General features: G+C 49.2%; 1 protein-coding gene and 1 pseudogene across 4 annotated transcripts, besides 5 other annotated features; both read left to right on the forward strand.

Moving 5' to 3' along the window:
• Positions 1-1,018: 1,018 nt before the first annotated feature.
• Positions 1,019-9,341, forward strand: CMPK1P1 (CMPK1 pseudogene 1; annotated as a pseudogene).
• Positions 4,456-4,656: a silencer, noted in NCBI's record as "peak5777 fragment used in MPRA reporter construct". NCBI's record gives its function as "represses an SCP1 promoter by STARR-seq MPRAs in K562 erythroleukemia cells {active_cell/tissue: K562}" and the evidence as "EXISTENCE:reporter gene assay evidence [ECO:0000049][PMID:32103011]".
• Positions 5,482-5,581: an enhancer, noted in NCBI's record as "active region_24413". NCBI's record gives its function as "activates an Ori minimal core promoter by ATAC-STARR-seq in GM12878 lymphoblastoid cells {active_cell/tissue: GM12878}" and the evidence as "EXISTENCE:reporter gene assay evidence [ECO:0000049][PMID:35858748]".
• Positions 5,976-6,176: a silencer, noted in NCBI's record as "peak5778 fragment used in MPRA reporter construct". NCBI's record gives its function as "represses an SCP1 promoter by STARR-seq MPRAs in K562 erythroleukemia cells {active_cell/tissue: K562}" and the evidence as "EXISTENCE:reporter gene assay evidence [ECO:0000049][PMID:32103011]".
• Positions 6,232-6,291: an enhancer, noted in NCBI's record as "active region_24414". NCBI's record gives its function as "activates an Ori minimal core promoter by ATAC-STARR-seq in GM12878 lymphoblastoid cells {active_cell/tissue: GM12878}" and the evidence as "EXISTENCE:reporter gene assay evidence [ECO:0000049][PMID:35858748]".
• Positions 11,657-11,786: a silencer, noted in NCBI's record as "silent region_17100". NCBI's record gives its function as "represses an Ori minimal core promoter by ATAC-STARR-seq in GM12878 lymphoblastoid cells {active_cell/tissue: GM12878}" and the evidence as "EXISTENCE:reporter gene assay evidence [ECO:0000049][PMID:35858748]".
• CLPSL2 (colipase like 2) lies at positions 11,676-14,630 on the forward strand. 4 transcript variants are annotated; one of them, NM_001286550.2, is made up of 4 exons: positions 11,676-11,780; positions 12,537-12,659; positions 12,929-13,007; positions 14,433-14,630. In NM_001286550.2, exons 1-4 carry the CDS (start codon positions 11,697-11,699, stop codon positions 14,606-14,608), a joined length of 462 nt encoding a protein of 153 aa, NP_001273479.1. In that variant the 5' UTR covers positions 11,676-11,696; the 3' UTR covers positions 14,609-14,630. The 4 variants fall into 4 exon arrangements, 2 of the variants coding, with proteins under 2 accessions (NP_001273479.1, NP_997292.2); NR_104467.2 differs by lacking the exon at positions 12,929-13,007 and having other exon boundaries at positions 11,676-11,882; NM_207409.4 differs by lacking the exon at positions 12,929-13,007.
• Positions 14,631-15,627: the final 997 nt, after the last annotated feature.

A 15,627-nucleotide genomic window follows, 5' to 3' on the forward strand; every position in this document is an offset into this window, starting at 1 on the left:
CAGCCTGGCCAACATGGTGAAACCCTGTCTGTACTTAAAATACAAAAAATTAGCCGGGCTGGTGGCAGGCGCCTGTAATCCCAGCTACACGGGAGGTTGAGGCAGGAGGGAGGATCGCTTGAACCCGGGATGTGGAGACCGCAACACTGCACTCCAGCCTGGGTGACTGAGTGAGTCTCAAAAAAACCCTGAAATGTTTGGGGTGGGGGGGTGCTTTTATTAAAAGAAAAAGCCTCCAACCTGGCTAACATGGTGAAACCCCGTCTCTACTAAAAATACAAAAAAATTAGCCGGGCGTGGTGGCGGGCGCCTGTAGTTCCAGCTACTTGGGAGGCTGAGGCAGGAGAATGGCGTGAACTCGGGAGGCGGAGCTTGCAGTGAGCCGAGATTGCGCCACTGCACTCCAGCCTGGGCGAGAGTGAGACTCTGTCTCAAAAAACAAAAACAAAACAAAAAAAAGAATAAGCCTTACTGAGGACTCCTTACCCTTACTGTCTGCCTAAAATAGTTTCTTAATAACTCCTATATTACCAGCACTTTGCGAGGCCGAGGTAGGCGGATCACCTGAGGTCAGGAGTTTGAGACCAGCCTGGCCAACATGGTGAAACTCCGTCTCTACTAAAAATACAAAAATTAGCCTGGCGTGGTGGCAGACGCCTGTAATCCCAGCTACTCAGGAGGCTGGGGCAGGAGAATCTCTTGAACCCAGGAGGCAGAGGTTGCAGTGACCAGAAATCACGCCACTGCACTCCAGCCTGGTCAACAGAGCCAGACTCTGTCTCAAATAAAAATAAAAATAAAAGTTTAAGACCAGCCTGTGCAACATGTCCCATCTGTACAAAAAATAAAAAATAAAATAAAATAAATTAAAAAAATAAGAAGCTCTCTTCCGACCGTGGGGCAGATGCCCTGGCAGCCCGCCCCTTTCCCACACCGCCTCCCCGGCACACGCCGCACCTGTCAGCCCTCTGAGCTCCGAGGTGCGGTGCAGGCTGAGCCACTGCCTGAGCCGCTGCTCCACGTCCTGGGCCTTAGCTTCCCGCTGCAGACCTGCCGGCCGATTCTTCGCTGCCCTCCCGGTCTCATGAAGCCGCTGGTCGTGTTTGTCCACGGCGGTCCCGGCGCGCTGGCATCCTTGAGAAAGATGGCTACACACACCTTTCTGCAGGAGAGTTACTTCATGATGAAAGGAAGAGCCCAGATTCACAGTATGGTGAACTCACTGAAAATTACATTAAAGAAGGAAACATGGGACCAGTGGAGATAACCATCAGTTTATTAAAGAGGGAAATGGATCAGACAATGGCTGTCAGTGCTCAAAAGAGTACATCTTTGATCGATGGATGGGTTTCCAAGAAATCAAGACAACCTTCAAGGTTGGAACAACGGACCGGACGCAGTGGCTCACGCCTGTAATCCCAGCACTTTGGGAGGCCAAGGGGGGTGGATCACCTCAGGTCAGGAGTTCACCACCAGCCTAGCCAACATGGTGAAACCCCGTCTCTACTAAAAATACAAAAAATTAGCCAGGCGTGGTGGGGCGCGCCTGTAATCCCAACTACTCGGGAGGCTGAGGCAGGAGAATCTCTTGAACCCGGGAGGTGGTCGTTGCAGCAAGCCAAGATCATGCCACTGCACTCCAGCCTGGGTAACAAGAGCGAGGCTCCGTCTCAAAAAAAAAAAAAAAAAAAGAAAAAAGAAAAGAAAAGAAAAGAAAAAAAAGAAAAAAAAAGGTTGAATGGGAAGGCAGATAGATGTATCTTTCATTCTGTGTGTGTGTGGTTTTTTAACTGTAATAATAAGATCTGTATTGAATGATGTCCTGAGAGAGGAAAGAGTAGCGGTAGGAGTGATGACAACAGAGAGAGCTTGAGAAAGAGAATTGAGACCCATCTTCAGTCAACAAAGCCAATTATTGACTTATATAAAGAAATGGGGGAAAGTCAAGAAAATAAATGTTTCCCAATCTGTTGATTAAGTTTTTGAAGTTGTGAAGATTTTTGACAGGAAAACTAATTCGAAACCTGAAAGCATCCTTGAAATCTTGCTTGAATACTGCTTTGATAGCTGCTATCGCGACCCCTTTTTAAGGCAATTTTAATCTTTCAAACTACATCTCACCTAGTGGCTGGAAAGTATAGGTAAGACAAATTAAGTTTTTTATGTACTTTTTTTTCGTCACAGAAGAGAGTTAATTAAGAGACATAACTTCATCTTAGTTATGGTGCTCACTAAACAAAGAAGCGTATCAAGCTATTTTTTTTTATTCAAAAAGACTATTCCTTTCATAGTTTGTGCCTTCTATGAGCAAAACTTTTTCGTATGTGTGTATGTCCCTTTAGTAATTACAACATGTTAGGATTTAGGGATACCCACTTCCTCCTTTTCTTGCAAGTTTTAAATTTCCAACCTTAAGTGAATTTGTGGACCAGATTTCAAAGGAACTTTTTGTGGAGTCAGTTCTTGCACAATGTGTTTAGTAAACAAACTCAAAGTGGATTCTTAGCAGTGTTTTAATATATATCAAATAACTAACAATTTCCTATAGAAAAGTAAGAAAACATAGGCTTTGTTTTACTACAACTTGAACAATGTTGTATGACAGGGCATATTCTTTGCTTCCAAGGTTTGGGTTGGAAGCACTAGAGGTTCAGAGCCTGGCAGAACTGTCAGCTTTATTCTGACATAATCTAAGGGTATGGGGCAAGGATCACATCTAATACTTGTGTTCCTCATCCTCTATTATATGGTGTTATTCATGATTCAACTGATCTTAACAAAATTCCTAGCAGTGGAACCTTGAAATGCATGTGACTAGATTTATGCTAAAATGATTCAGTTAGCATTTTAGTAACACTTCAAATGATTTTTTGTTCATTTTCTAGACCAAATACAAGGTTAGGATTAATTAGAAGAAGCAATCTAGTTAAATTTCCCATTTGTATTTTATTTTCTTGAATACTTTTTTTTATAGTTGTTTAAAAAAATTTTTAAATCATTGCACTTTGGTCAGAAAAATAATAAATATATTTTATAAATGTTTGATTCCTTTCCTTGCTATTTGTATTCAGTAAATTATTGTTTTGGCATCATGTTGAAGCACTGAAAGACGAATAATCTTTAAAAGGCTTAAAAAAAAAAAGCCAGGTGTGGTGGCGTGCACTTATAGTCCTAGCCTTGGGAGGCTGAGGAAGGAGGATCACTTGAGCCCAGAAGGCCAAGGCTGCAGTAAGTTATGATCATGCCACTGCACTCCAGCCTGGGCAACAGAGTGAGACCCTGTCTCAAAAAGAAAAAAAAAAGTGATTTGCAGCTGTAAAAACTGAAAAGATTTCAAATAGGAAGTAGAAGACTAACTTCACCCTCTCCAGGTAACCTTCGCCACCTCCAGGCACTTTTCCCTATAGTGGCTGCTGTAGCATGGCTTGTTCAGCTTTTCTTTCATCTCCTTCTGGTGTCCCTTCCTGCACTGCAGGGCAGGAAAGCTAAACACTAGAGTGGTAGACCTAGGTGTGATTGCTGATCACATGCACTGCCTAAAGCCTAATCTTCATGGAGGTAAGGGAGGGCAGTGGCATTTTTGGGAGGCATACTTTTTTTGTTTTGTTTTGGCTAGGGAAGACACAGGCAATACTTTTTTTTTTTTTTTTTTTAGAGACAGGGGTGTTGCCCAGGCTGGAGTATAGTGCTATGATCATAGCTCACTGTAACCCCAAACTCCTAGGTTTAAGTGATCCTCCCACCTCAGCCTCCTGAGTAGCTGGGACTATAAGGTGCACACCACCACACCCAGCTAATTTTTTTTTTTTTTTTTTTTTTTTTTTGTAGAGACAACGGTATCACTATGTTGTCCAGGCTGGTCTCAAACTCCTGGCCTCAAGCAACCCTCCTGCCTTGGCCTCCCAAAGTGCTAATATTACAGGAGTGAGCCACCACACCTGCCTATAGGCAATAGTTTTGCTGGAGTGCAGTGATGCAATCATAGCTCACTACAGCCTCAATCTCCCAGACTCAAATGATCTTCCCACCTCAACCTCCCAAGTAGCTTGGGACTACAGGTGCACCACCATGCTGGACTAATTTTTAAAAAATTTTTTGTAGAGACCAGGCCTTGCTATGTTGCTCAGGCTGGTCTTGAACTCCTGAGCTCAAGCGATCTTCCCACCTTGGCCTCCCAAAGTGCTGGGATTACATGTGTGAGCCACTGCACCTGGCAGGCAATAATCTTTCATGGCAGCTTCCTGAACCCGATATCACAGCTAAGGTGTGTGTTCCTGGGACTGCAGTGATGACTACCTACCTCCTCACCTGCCTGATGGCAGCAGGGGTAGTAGCTCCCCTGGTAGCACAGTTCTGCAGGGTTGTTTTGTTTTGTTTTTTAAGTCATTCCTGGAGGCTCAGTCTGGTTTCCACTCTTGCAGTCATTTCAATGTCTTCGTCAGCCCTCAATTATCTGTATTACATTCCTTTCTGCTTAAAATAAGTAGGATGGTATCTGTTATCTGCAACTGAGCTCTGATAAGGTACCTGACATACGATAGGTATCACTAAACGTTTGTTGAATACATGAATGAATGATGAATGAATAGGTAAATGGAATGGAGACCACCAAGATGTATACAGTGAGTTGGACAGACGAACCTAGTGGACTCAACAGAATGGTAGAGCAATTGATGGATCATAAGTGGACAATGAAACCAATTTGGTGCATCCTAACCAGCTTTTTTTTTTTTTTTTTTTTTTGAGACGGAATCTCACTCTGTCACCCAGGCTGGAGTGCAGTGGTGCAATCTCGGCTCACTACAACCTCCGCCTCCCGGGTTCAAGCGATTCTCCTGCCTCAGCCTCCTGAGTAGCTGGGGTTACAGGCACGTGCCACCACGCCCGGCTAATTTTTGTATTTTTAGTAGAGACGGGGTTTCATCATGTTGGTCAGGCTGGTCTGGAACTCCTGACCTCGTGATCTGCCTGCCTCAGCCTCCCAAAGTGTTGGGATTACAGGCATGAACCACCATGCCCAGCCCCTAACCAGCACTTTTAAAAGATGAAATAGAAAAGAATAGAAAATCTCAGATAAGATCACATATGGTAAATGTAAGTATTGTTTTGTGAAACTTTAGTTCCATACACACACCTACACATTGTATATATGCACGAGCACACACATGTTTGCAGTGGTGATCATCAAACCAGCATAACACAGACACCAACTAATTGGAGCTACTAGTTGTCTGAATACCTGTGTGAAATGTACCTTTACCATGGGTTGTAGTCAAAAAAAGTGATTGAGATCCATTGCTCTATAGAATGTAGCTTAGGCTTCTTGGGGGTGGTGGGGGGAACAAGTTTCCAAGGACCCTTCCTACAGTGTTACCCTTGGCTAAAGGATACTGTCCATGACTCCTTCCTGCCCCAGGGAGCTTTTCCTCAATCCAGGTATGTTTTTTTTTTTTTCTTTTTGAGACGGAGTCTCGCTCTGTCGCCCAGGCTGGAGTGCAGTGGCGCGATCTCGGCTCACTGCAAGCTCCGCCTCCCGGGTTCGCGCCATTCTCTCGCCTCAGCTTCCCGAGTAGCTGGGACTACAAGCGCCTGCCACCACGCCTGGCTAGTTTTTTGTATTTTTAGTAGAGAAGGGGTTTCACCGTGTCAGCCAGGATGGTCTCGATCCCCTGACCTCATCATCTGCCCACCTCGGCCTCCCAAAGTGCTGGGATTACAGGTGTGAGCCACCGCGCCCGGCCCAGGTATGGTCTTAAGCAGAGCAATCCTCCGTGTATGGCAACTTGGGATGTTGTGGGCACCTATAATTCTGCCCACTCAGCATCCATGTCCTATTCCTCAGGAAACAGCAACCCCCTATATCCCTGCCTTTGGGGAGCTGCCCTGTTCAGGTTCCATGAGGTTCTGGTCCCTAGTCCCCCTGGTCTTCTAGGAATTTCTAGATGGGTGCTGAAGGGAGGTGCATAGAGCTGTGCACAGCTCCCTGCTCCCCCCCACAGAGAGCAGGCTTCCTCCCTGAGAGGAAATGAGGCTGCCTGAAGGCTGAAGCTGAAGAGAGAGACACCTGTCAGTGGTTCCTCTTTGGAGCCTTGAGGCCAGCCTGGTGACTGACCCAATACTGTTTCTTTTGCTTTTTATTGTTAAAATTACATACTTTGGCTTGAATTCTTTCACTTGCAGCTACAGGAGTTGTGATTCCCTCATGGCTCCTTGAGGTAAGCAAGGGGCCCTCACTGCCAAGGCGACTAGGCACAAATGTGGCTCAGCCTCACCGAGTGGGAGAAGGAAGGGGCTCTAGAGCCAGCGAGTCTACACATGCACCCTACGCACAGGTGGTGTGGGCAGGGTGGCAGCACGGGGCATTCCCCTGCTATGTCCCCTCTGGAGACCTCTCTGTGCATGAACCTTTTGCCTGAACACAGAGGTTGTAGGGAGCCCTCCTTGGCCCGTCTGAGGAAGGCCCCTGTCATAGGCTAAGCTGCTTGGAAAAGCTCAGTCCCCTCCCATGGGTGAAGGCAATGGGGCAGCACACCTGGCCGCCAGACACCACTGCCCACTCTGTCCTTCAGGCCAAAGCCCTAGGGTCAAAGGGCCAGCCCAGTCCAGGAGGAGGCGGCAGGTCAGCTCCCTCTTCTCCCTCCGGGCCTGTCTTTCTCCCAAGCTGAGCTGATAGCCTCTCAGCAGGGCCAGCCTGTCCCGGGAAGAAGTAAAATGAGAAGTGTGTGTTCTGAGCCCTGCCCCTGGTTCAGAGTATGTTGTGTGGGTGGGGTGACTAGAAGCTGGGAAAGAGCTGATCTCCCTTGGGCATGCTGGGCCTCTCCTTCTAGAGACCCTCCTGTCCTCACAGACAGAGCAGGGCAACCCCACCCTCACCCTGCACCCCTGGCTCAATGGCTCAGGTCCCCCTGCTCTGACTCTAGCATTGCCACCACCAACCCAGCTTTCCACTGAGGAGCCACCTCAACAGGGGCTATTCCCACAGACCCTCAAGTTCCTTTGCACGCTGACCGCCCCATCTCCAATCTGTATCCCCAACAAGCAGACACCATCTCCTTGCTGTTCTACCCACAGCTACTCACTGTCACTTCCAAACCTTTGCCCACCCTGTACCCCTGGTTGGAAACCCTTAGTCTCTCTGCTTGCCAAATCCCAGTCCCCCTTCAAGGCTTAGCAAAACAGCGCGGCCCTCTCCTGCCAGGGTCCGGGACATACAACCTTGAGGCCTCCACCTCCTCACCTCCAAACACTTCCCACTCTGGTCCTCTTCTCTAGGAAGGCTTTGCTGATCTATCTTTGCATATCAAACTCTTAGGGCACCCACTCGTTCCTCACTCTCCCCAGATTACTTTTAGAGTTCCTTCAGGAAGGACTTGAGTAATGCGCAATTTTCATGAGGTCAGTTTTCCCCAGAATTTTATTTTGGATTTCAAAGACTGATAAGACTTCCAAAAAATTCTGAGGACTAACAGAATTTGTGCACATATATTTAATATATTGGCCAAAAGCCAGTTTCGGTGGCTCAAGCCTGTAATCCCAGCACTTTGGGAGGCCGGTGGATCACCTAAGATCAGGGGTTCAAGACCAGCCTGGCCAACATGGTGAAACCCTGTCTCTACTAAAAAAAATACAAAAAAATTAGCCAGGCGTGGTGGCGGGCGCCTGTAATCCCAGCTACTTGGGAAGCTGAGGCAGGAGAATTGCTTGAACCTGGGAGGCAGAGGTTGCAGTGAGCCAAGATGGCACCTCTGCACTCCAGCCTGGGTGACAGCGCAAGACTTGGTCTCAAAAAAAAAAAAAAAGTATATATATATATATATATATATATATGCGCCAAAAAAGAACATGAACAATGAAACAAAACTACTACTGTATCGTGGCTATTATTGCTTTTTTAAAATATATTTTTAAATATTTTATTTTATTTTTTACCTCCAAATACCATCACCATTTTATTTAATTATTATTACTTTTTTGAGACAGTCTATCTCTGTCACCCAGATTGGAGTGCAGTGGCATGGCTCACTGCAGCCTCAACCTCCCAGGCTCGAGATCCTCTCACCTCAGCCTCCCATGTATTTGGGACCATAGGCAGATGCCACCATGCCCAGCTAATTCTTTTATTTTTTGTAGAGACAGAGGTCTCACTTTGTTGCCAGGTTGGTCTTGAACCCCTGATCGCCATTATTTCATAAAAGCACATTTTAACACCAAAGAAGTAGAAAAGACATAATTTCAGAATAAATAATTACTTTTTAAATTAAATACATTTCCCTGCCTGGGCAATATGTTGAGACGCTACCTCTACTAAAAATGCAAGAATTAGCTGGGCGTGGTGGCGCGCGCCTGTATTCTCAGCTACTTGGAGGGGGGCTGAGGCAGGAGACTTGCTTGAACCCAGGAGGCGAAGGCTGCAGTGAGCCCAGATCGCGCTACTGCACTACAGCCTGGGTGACACCTCAAAAACAAATTTTTTTTTAATAATAATAAATTGAATATATTTACCTTTAACAAAAACACTACTACATTATCCTTATTGTTTTCATTTTGCTGCAGACCAGTGAGAACATTGTCATGGAAACCACCACTTGCACCACCAGAAAGATGCAGAAGAAAAGAAGTGAGACGTTAGAGACTGTCAGAGGAGGGGAAGGTGAAGAGGCAGGAAATAGGGGGTAAGAAGTCCACCAGCAAGGTGCTCCCCTGTCCTGAACTGACCCCCTTCTGCTCACTGAAGTCTGAGGTGGCCAGTTTTGGGCCCTGGGCAGAGCTGTGGCCATGCTCACAGGTCAGGCAGCTCAGGGATTCCCGGCGCTGGAGACCCTGGTGATCTTGTTCCTACTCCCCCGCAATGCAGAGGTACCCTGGACATGTGCCTGTGACCGGTGCTGGCAGGCCATGGTACAGGACTTGGAGTCAGGAGCAGAGCTAGGCCTGGCTCTGCTACTCACCAGCTGAGTTACTGGGAGAAGTCCCTGCCTTCTCTGGGCCTCGGTTTCCTCAACTGAAAATAAAGGTTCTGAACTAGTTGTTTTTGAGGAAACCGGAAGATCTCTGGCTTAAGAAAAAAAAAAGCCATGCCCATAATATTTTGTACAGAATTCCAGGGGCTTCACCACCCCTCAGGGCCTTCAGTGGGTTCCCCAGGGGCTGCTAACCCTGACACGCAGTTGCTGGCCCCTTGCCTTCAAATTTGCCACTTTCCTAAGCAGTCAACAATACTTCTCAAGTATCTAACGGTCATGGGGGTATGGGCAAAGGAAGCCGGTGAAGCAGTACAAGGAAGTATCCATCCCCAGGCCTCCTCTCCAGTTCACAAATGGTCTGCGTGGATGGGTCGCTAGTCAGCCAAGGTAGCAGAACACACATATGAAGAGAGCTCAGACCGCGACTGCTGGAGCCCCCTTACTAGGTAATGATGGGAACCCCCTTACTAGGGCCAAAGCCCTCTGGCCGCCCGCAGCAGTGTAGATCAGTGGTAAGAACTTGGACCCAGGAGCTAGAATGCCCTGGATTTATATCTGACTCTGCCATTTAATCCTGTTCCTTGGGCAAGTAACTTTATCTTGAGCCTTCAGGTTCCTAGTCTGTAAAACAGGGCTAAGAGTTACGCAGCAGAAATGATAGTAGATGCTAAATATTCCAAGACTCCTTTGAATTTCCCAGCCTCCCTTGCAGAAGGTTAGAGGGTTGGGATCATGTGACTAGTTCCAGCAGGTGGTTTGTGAGTGGAGAAGGCAGGTCTTCCATGGAGACCTTGGATGCTAGTTTTTTTTTTTTTTTTTGAGACAGGGTCTCACTCTGTTGCCCATGCTGGAGTGCAGTGGCACGATCATAACTCACTGCAGCTTCAGCCTCCCGAGTAGCCAGGACTACATGCATGTGCCACCATGTCTGGCTAATTTCTTAAATTTTTTTTGTAGCAATGAGGTCTCACTATATTGCCCAGGGCTGGCCTTGAACTCCTGAGCTCACGAGATCCTCTCAGCCGGGCATGGTGACTCCCACTGGTAATCCCAGCACTTTGCGGAGGTTGCAGTGAGCCGAGATTGTGCCATTGCACTTCAGCCTGGGCAATAGCGTGAGACTCTGTCTCAAAAAAAAAAAAAAAAAAAAAAAAAAAAAAAACCAAAAAAACCCCCAAAACAACTGATCCTCTCTCCTTGGCCTCCCGAAGTGCTGTGAATACATGCATGAGCCACCATGCCCAGCCAGAGGCCAGTCTTATAGATGGCTACAGGATGGAAGAAGGGTATCTTGCCCCAAATCAGACTGTACATAAAGCATTATTGTGCCAAGCCACGAAATTCCAGGAGTTCTGTTGTTACAGCCAGTGTTAATTACTCTGTGACAGCTAGTGTTAATACAGGGAGGGCTCACGGAAATAATGGATACAAGGCCCTCTGAGTGCGGTGGGGGCTGTTATTCTTGGCTGTTATTCCCCACCAAGACAGGATTCCTCGGTTCATTTCTTAAGCGAAACTTCAAAAGCAGAAGCAGGCTGGGAGTGGTGGCTCACGTCTGTAATCCCACCACTTTGGGAGGCCGAGGCAGGAGAATCTCTTGAGCCCATGAGTTCAAGACCAGCCTGGACAACATAAGGACAACCTGTCTCTATAACAAATATTAACAATACAAAATTAAAAAAAAATAGAAATTAAAAAAAAGCAGAAGCAGGCAGGTGGGGTGAGGTGGAAGCTTCATCCATAGGGAAGTCCTGAGGAAGGCCTGCCTCCCCCGGTTCCAGGATTGCTCTGTGCAGCTCTAGCTCTCCCTTAACCCTCCTCCCTATTCTGAGTTTTCTTCTCTTCCCACTTCTCCATTTTGCCCCCACATCTTGACTTTCACACAATTCACAGACAAATCCTTAGACAATTAATAGAATGATTAAGACTGCAAGAGATTTAAGACTTAGAGACCATCTTGTCCCACCTCCTGGTTCTTACAGAAGAGGAGAATGGGGCCTGCAGCGGGTGTGAGCAGCCCAGAGGGTGGGGCTGGATTATCCCGAAGGTAAGGGGAGAATCTGGGGCTGCAAGGGCAGACAGAGAATCAACATCAGGAAGGAAGCTCTTTTTATTTCAGCATATATGTTTTGTGCCGTTTATAAAAATAAAGTTTTGAGGCCAGGTGCGGTGGCTCACACCTGTAATCCCAGCACTTTGGGAGGCTGAAGCAGGACCATCACTTGAGGCCAGGAGTTAGAGACCAGCCTGGGCGACATGGGGAGACCCCCGTCTCTACAGAAATTTTTAAAATTATCCCGGCGTGGTGGCGCACACCTGTAGTCCCAGCTACTCGGGAGGCTGAGGCAGGAGGATCACTTGAACCTGGGAGGCGGAGATGGCAGTGAGCCGAGATCACGCCACTGCACTGGGCGACAGTGCGAGACTCCGTCTGTAAAATAAATAAATACAATAAAATAGAGTTTTATCTTACAATAAAAATAGAGTTTTATCTTACAGTTTCAAGCTTCTACTTGGAAGTAACACGTATGGAGGCTCCCAGGGCCCCTACAGTCTGGAATCCCGCCCGTGCGAGCCTGAGCGCCTTTCCTCCCTCCTTCCCTTCCGCAGGCGTCCTCGCCCTCCACGTCCCTCCTCCGCCGGGGTGGCCTGGGGCGCCGGGTCACGTGGCCGGGGAAGAGGTTTTATCCCGCGGCCCCTCGGAACCCCGCCGCTGCTCTGCCGCCCAGGCCCATGGCCGCAGCCCTGGCGCTCGTGGCGGGGGTCCTGTCGGGGGCGGTGCTGCCCCTCTGGAGCGCGCTTCCGCAATATAAAAAGGTGAGCCGGGGAGCGCGCCCAGCCGGCCGCGACCGCAGGAGAGGGTGGCCCCGCCGCCGGGGCACTGGAGCCCGAAGGCGCCGGGCAGCCTGAAAGGGAGAGGTGGGTCCGGAACCACACCCAGGCGGGTAGCCTGGGGCATCCTCAGACGGACTTCAAAAGCCGCTTCACTTTCCCCTGGTGGCCTCAGAGGGGAGAGAAATTGGCCTATGACCAGCACCCTCGCTCCCTCCACCTCCCCCGCCCGTGCCCCTTCCGATGGCCTCAGTCCTGGGCTCGCTTCCCTCCCCAAACTGCTCACAGGCAAACCCACCCTGCATGCTCTGGTTTCTCCTCCTCTTCTTCCACCTCCTCTCACTGTCTAGTGATTCTTCCAGGCACGAGGGCTCTCCCCTTTTCTCCTCTTTCTCTCCCTCTTTTTCGAGCCCGCAGCCCCTTCATTCTCATCCCCCAACCCTGCCCCGCAAAATGGGACTTAAGAGTACACACCCCATGGGACTCATGGAGGTGAGGGGGGTCCAGGAAAGGAGAGGCCGAGGGAAAAGTGCTAATCCCCCTCTCCTCCTCTCTGCTGCCCTGGGTCCTGCTGAGGGGCCGGGGTGGGGCTGGGGGGGGAACCAGCCCCCCAAGGGGTGACAACCTCATGACTTCTCCTGGATCCCTGGGCTCTTTGGCAATGGTGGGAACCCTCCCCTACCCGCCCACACGACTCAGGGATTGCTCCCAGCCTGGCAGACATTCTGCCTGTCCCCACAGAAAATCACAGACAGGTGCTTCCACCACTCTGAGTGCTACAGTGGCTGCTGCCTCATGGACTTGGACTCCGGTGGAGCCTTCTGTGCCCCCAGGGCCAGAATAACCATGATCTGCTTGCCCCAGGTGAGGCCCTAGTATGGGGCAACTTCTGGCAAGTAGAGAAGCGGGCAGGGAGGTTAAAAAAAAAACACCTGGCCCCACCTGTTTTTTCACCTCTGTCTGGAGTGCCCTTCTTCTTCTCCACTTGGCAAACTCCTACTCATGGTGCAAAACAACTCCAGCCACCTCCTCTGAGAAGGCTTCCCTCCTTGGAGCTCCTGTACCCTGGGGTCAGACCCTCAGCAGACCATGTATCTCCCTAACTGGCCATGTCTTTTCTCTGCCTCTCCCAGTGGTTGGAACTCTTCAAGGGCAGGGATCGCATCATATTCATCTATGAAGCACCTACCCCCAGCTTAGTATCTGCACATAGTAGGTGCTCAATAAATGCTTATTGTTGTTTGTTTGTTTGTTTCGAGATGGAGTCTCGCTCTGTCACCCAGGCTAGAGTGCAATGGCATGATCTCGGCTCACTGCAACCTCTGCCTCCTGGGTTCAAGCGATTCTTGGGCCTCAGCCTCCCGAGTAGCTGGGATTACAGGGGTGCACCGCTATGCCTGGCTAATTTTCGTATCTTTGGTAGAGATGGGGTTTTGCCATGTTGGCCAAGCCGGTCTTGAACTCCTGACCTCAGGTGATCCACCTGGCTCGGCCTCCCAAGGTGCTGGGATTATAGGCATGAGCCACCGTGCCCGGCCAATAAATGCTTGTTGAATGAATGAATATCTCTTCTCTCACACCACTGAGGCAGGGTAAGTAGGAAATGACCTTCCCCTTACTAGTCCCCATCTCCCTGCCACAGTGACATGATTTCTTGAGAGGAGCATGGCACTGCAGTGGCAGGACCACAGCTTTGCAGTTGGACCTGAGTTTAAATCCTGACTTTTCCACACCCTATCTTTGTGACTTCAAGCAGGTCATCATGGCTCTCTGAGCCTTAGTTTCCTCATCTACAAGGAGAGGCTAAAGTACCTACCCCACCAGGCTGTTGGGAAGATTATGTGGTCCTGGCAAGGAGAGTGTGCAGTCCAGCATGGTTGTCACTCGCTTTTAGGAATGCAGGGAGCAGAATGCTCAGTACGCCCTGTTCCTGCCCACCTGGCCCTGGGCCCAAACCTTTCTAGGATGGATGGACCCAGCCTCTATGTCCCTGTGTGGGGAGTTGCCAATGCCCTAAGGAAGCAGCAGGGCCCCTACCATGGCCTGACCCTATAGCTGAAGTGGCTAGAGGGTTTTTATTTTTTTTATTTTTTGAGACAGAGTTTTGCTCTTGTTGCCCAGGCTGGAGTGCAATGGCGTGATCTTGGCCCACTGCAACCTCCACCTCCTGGGTTCAAGCAATTCCTCTGCCTCAGCCTCTGGAGTAGCTGGGATTACAGGCATGTGCTAATTTTTATATTATTAGTCCATGACCATGTTGGCCAGGCTAGTCTCAAACTCCTGACCTCAGGTGATCCACCCGCCTCGGCCTTCCAAAGCGCTGGGATTACAGGGGTGAGCCACCGCGCATGGCCTAAAGGGTCTTTTTATTATCACCACTTGATCTGCTCTATCTCATTTAGTCCTCACAACAACCCTATGAGGGGGGTTACTATTACTGTCCCCATTTGACAGATGAGGAAACCGAGCTGGAGAGGTTCATTGACTTGCTGAAGGTCACGCAGTTATAAGCTGTAGAGACAGCCCAGGTCTGTCTTACTCCAGGCCTGGTACTCTTGGTTCTGGTCCCCAAGAAGTTTAAGTCCCCATCCTTCCTGCATCCTGGTGACTCCCGATTCTCATACCCACTCCCTGCAGACCAAGGGAGCTACCAACATCATCTGCCCTTGCCGGATGGGCTTGACGTGCATATCCAAGGACTTGATGTGTTCCCGCCGGTGCCATATGATTTAGAGGAAGATGCAGGCTGGTCACTGCTCCCTTGGGGCCATAGGCCCTGGTTGCCACCAACTTGCTCCAAATCCAGCTCCTGAGACATTAAAGTCACTTCCTGTCCTTGGCCTCTGTCTGTACTTTCTGGGCGAGGGGACCTGGTGGAGATTGTACCAGTCCAGGGGGCAGGCAAAAGGGGAGACTGGAGGCATGAATGAGCTTCTAATGGGATTTGGCCCTGTCCGGAGGTCAGGGTAGAACTGCAGGAAGGGAATGGCACAGGGAGGGTGTGGTGGAGCAGGGGCTGGGTCTGGGAAAGGGCTGATTCTCTGGTTGGAGGGCTGTGTGGGAGAGACGGGATTGAGGAATGTACCTGGAGAGTGTATGTTGGGGTGCCTATGGAGGGGTGTGTGGTAGGGAGAGACTAGGTGGAGGTATCTGAATGTTTTGCGGGGCGGGTTGTGGGGCACAAAAGGGTAGAGATCATTAGAGAGTTGGTGAGAATGTGCAAAGTATAAATGCAGAAATGCCTGTGGTGGGAAAGGGACCTGGTGCATGGATGCCTCCGCTCTCTCAGGTATTGTCGGTTCACTGCATGGACAAAGAAACTGAGGCCCAGAGAAGCGACATGACTTGCCCTAGGTCATATCATTGGGGTAGCAGTGAGGCCTCTTTCTGCTGCAAGTATCTTAAAAACCAACTCAAATTGGTCTAGGTGAGGAGGGGATTTACTGGTGATGGGAAATGAAAGTCCAGAGGTCAGGCAACCCTTAGGTAGGGCCAGAGCCAGCAGCTCTCAGGCTGAATTCCTTCCCAGTAGTCACAAACATTCCAGGTGTCACCTAATAACAGGTAGGATTTATTGAGCACTTCCTATGTGCCAGACACTGTGCAAAGTGCTTTCTTTTTCATTTAATTAAAAAATTTAAGACAGCACCCAGGCTGGAGTGCAGTGGCTCGATCGCAGCGTACTGCAGCCTCAACCCCCTGGGCTCAAAAGATCCTCCCACGTCAGCCTCCCAAGTAACTGGGACTACAGGTGTGTGACACCATGCCCGGCCAATTTTTTTTCTTTTTCTTTTTCTTTTTTTTTTTTTAATAGAGACAGGGCCTCACTGTA

This window comes from Homo sapiens, chromosome 6 (assembly GCF_000001405.40).
Source record: "Homo sapiens chromosome 6, GRCh38.p14 Primary Assembly".
Lineage (NCBI taxonomy): Eukaryota > Metazoa > Chordata > Mammalia > Primates > Hominidae > Homo > Homo sapiens.

Bases quoted from the DNA above. Each gene is read 5' to 3' on its own strand.
- CLPSL2 (NM_001286550.2), top strand. From the start codon at position 11,697: ATGGCCGCAGCCCTGGCGCTCGTGGCGGGGGTCCTGTCGGGGGCGGTG. The intron at 11,781-12,536 runs GTGAGCCGGGGA...CTGTCCCCACAG, and splicing joins CGCTTCCGCAATATAAAAAG to AAAATCACAGACAGGTGCTT. The intron at 13,008-14,432 runs GTAGGTGCTCAA...CACTCCCTGCAG, and splicing joins CAGCTTAGTATCTGCACATA to ACCAAGGGAGCTACCAACAT.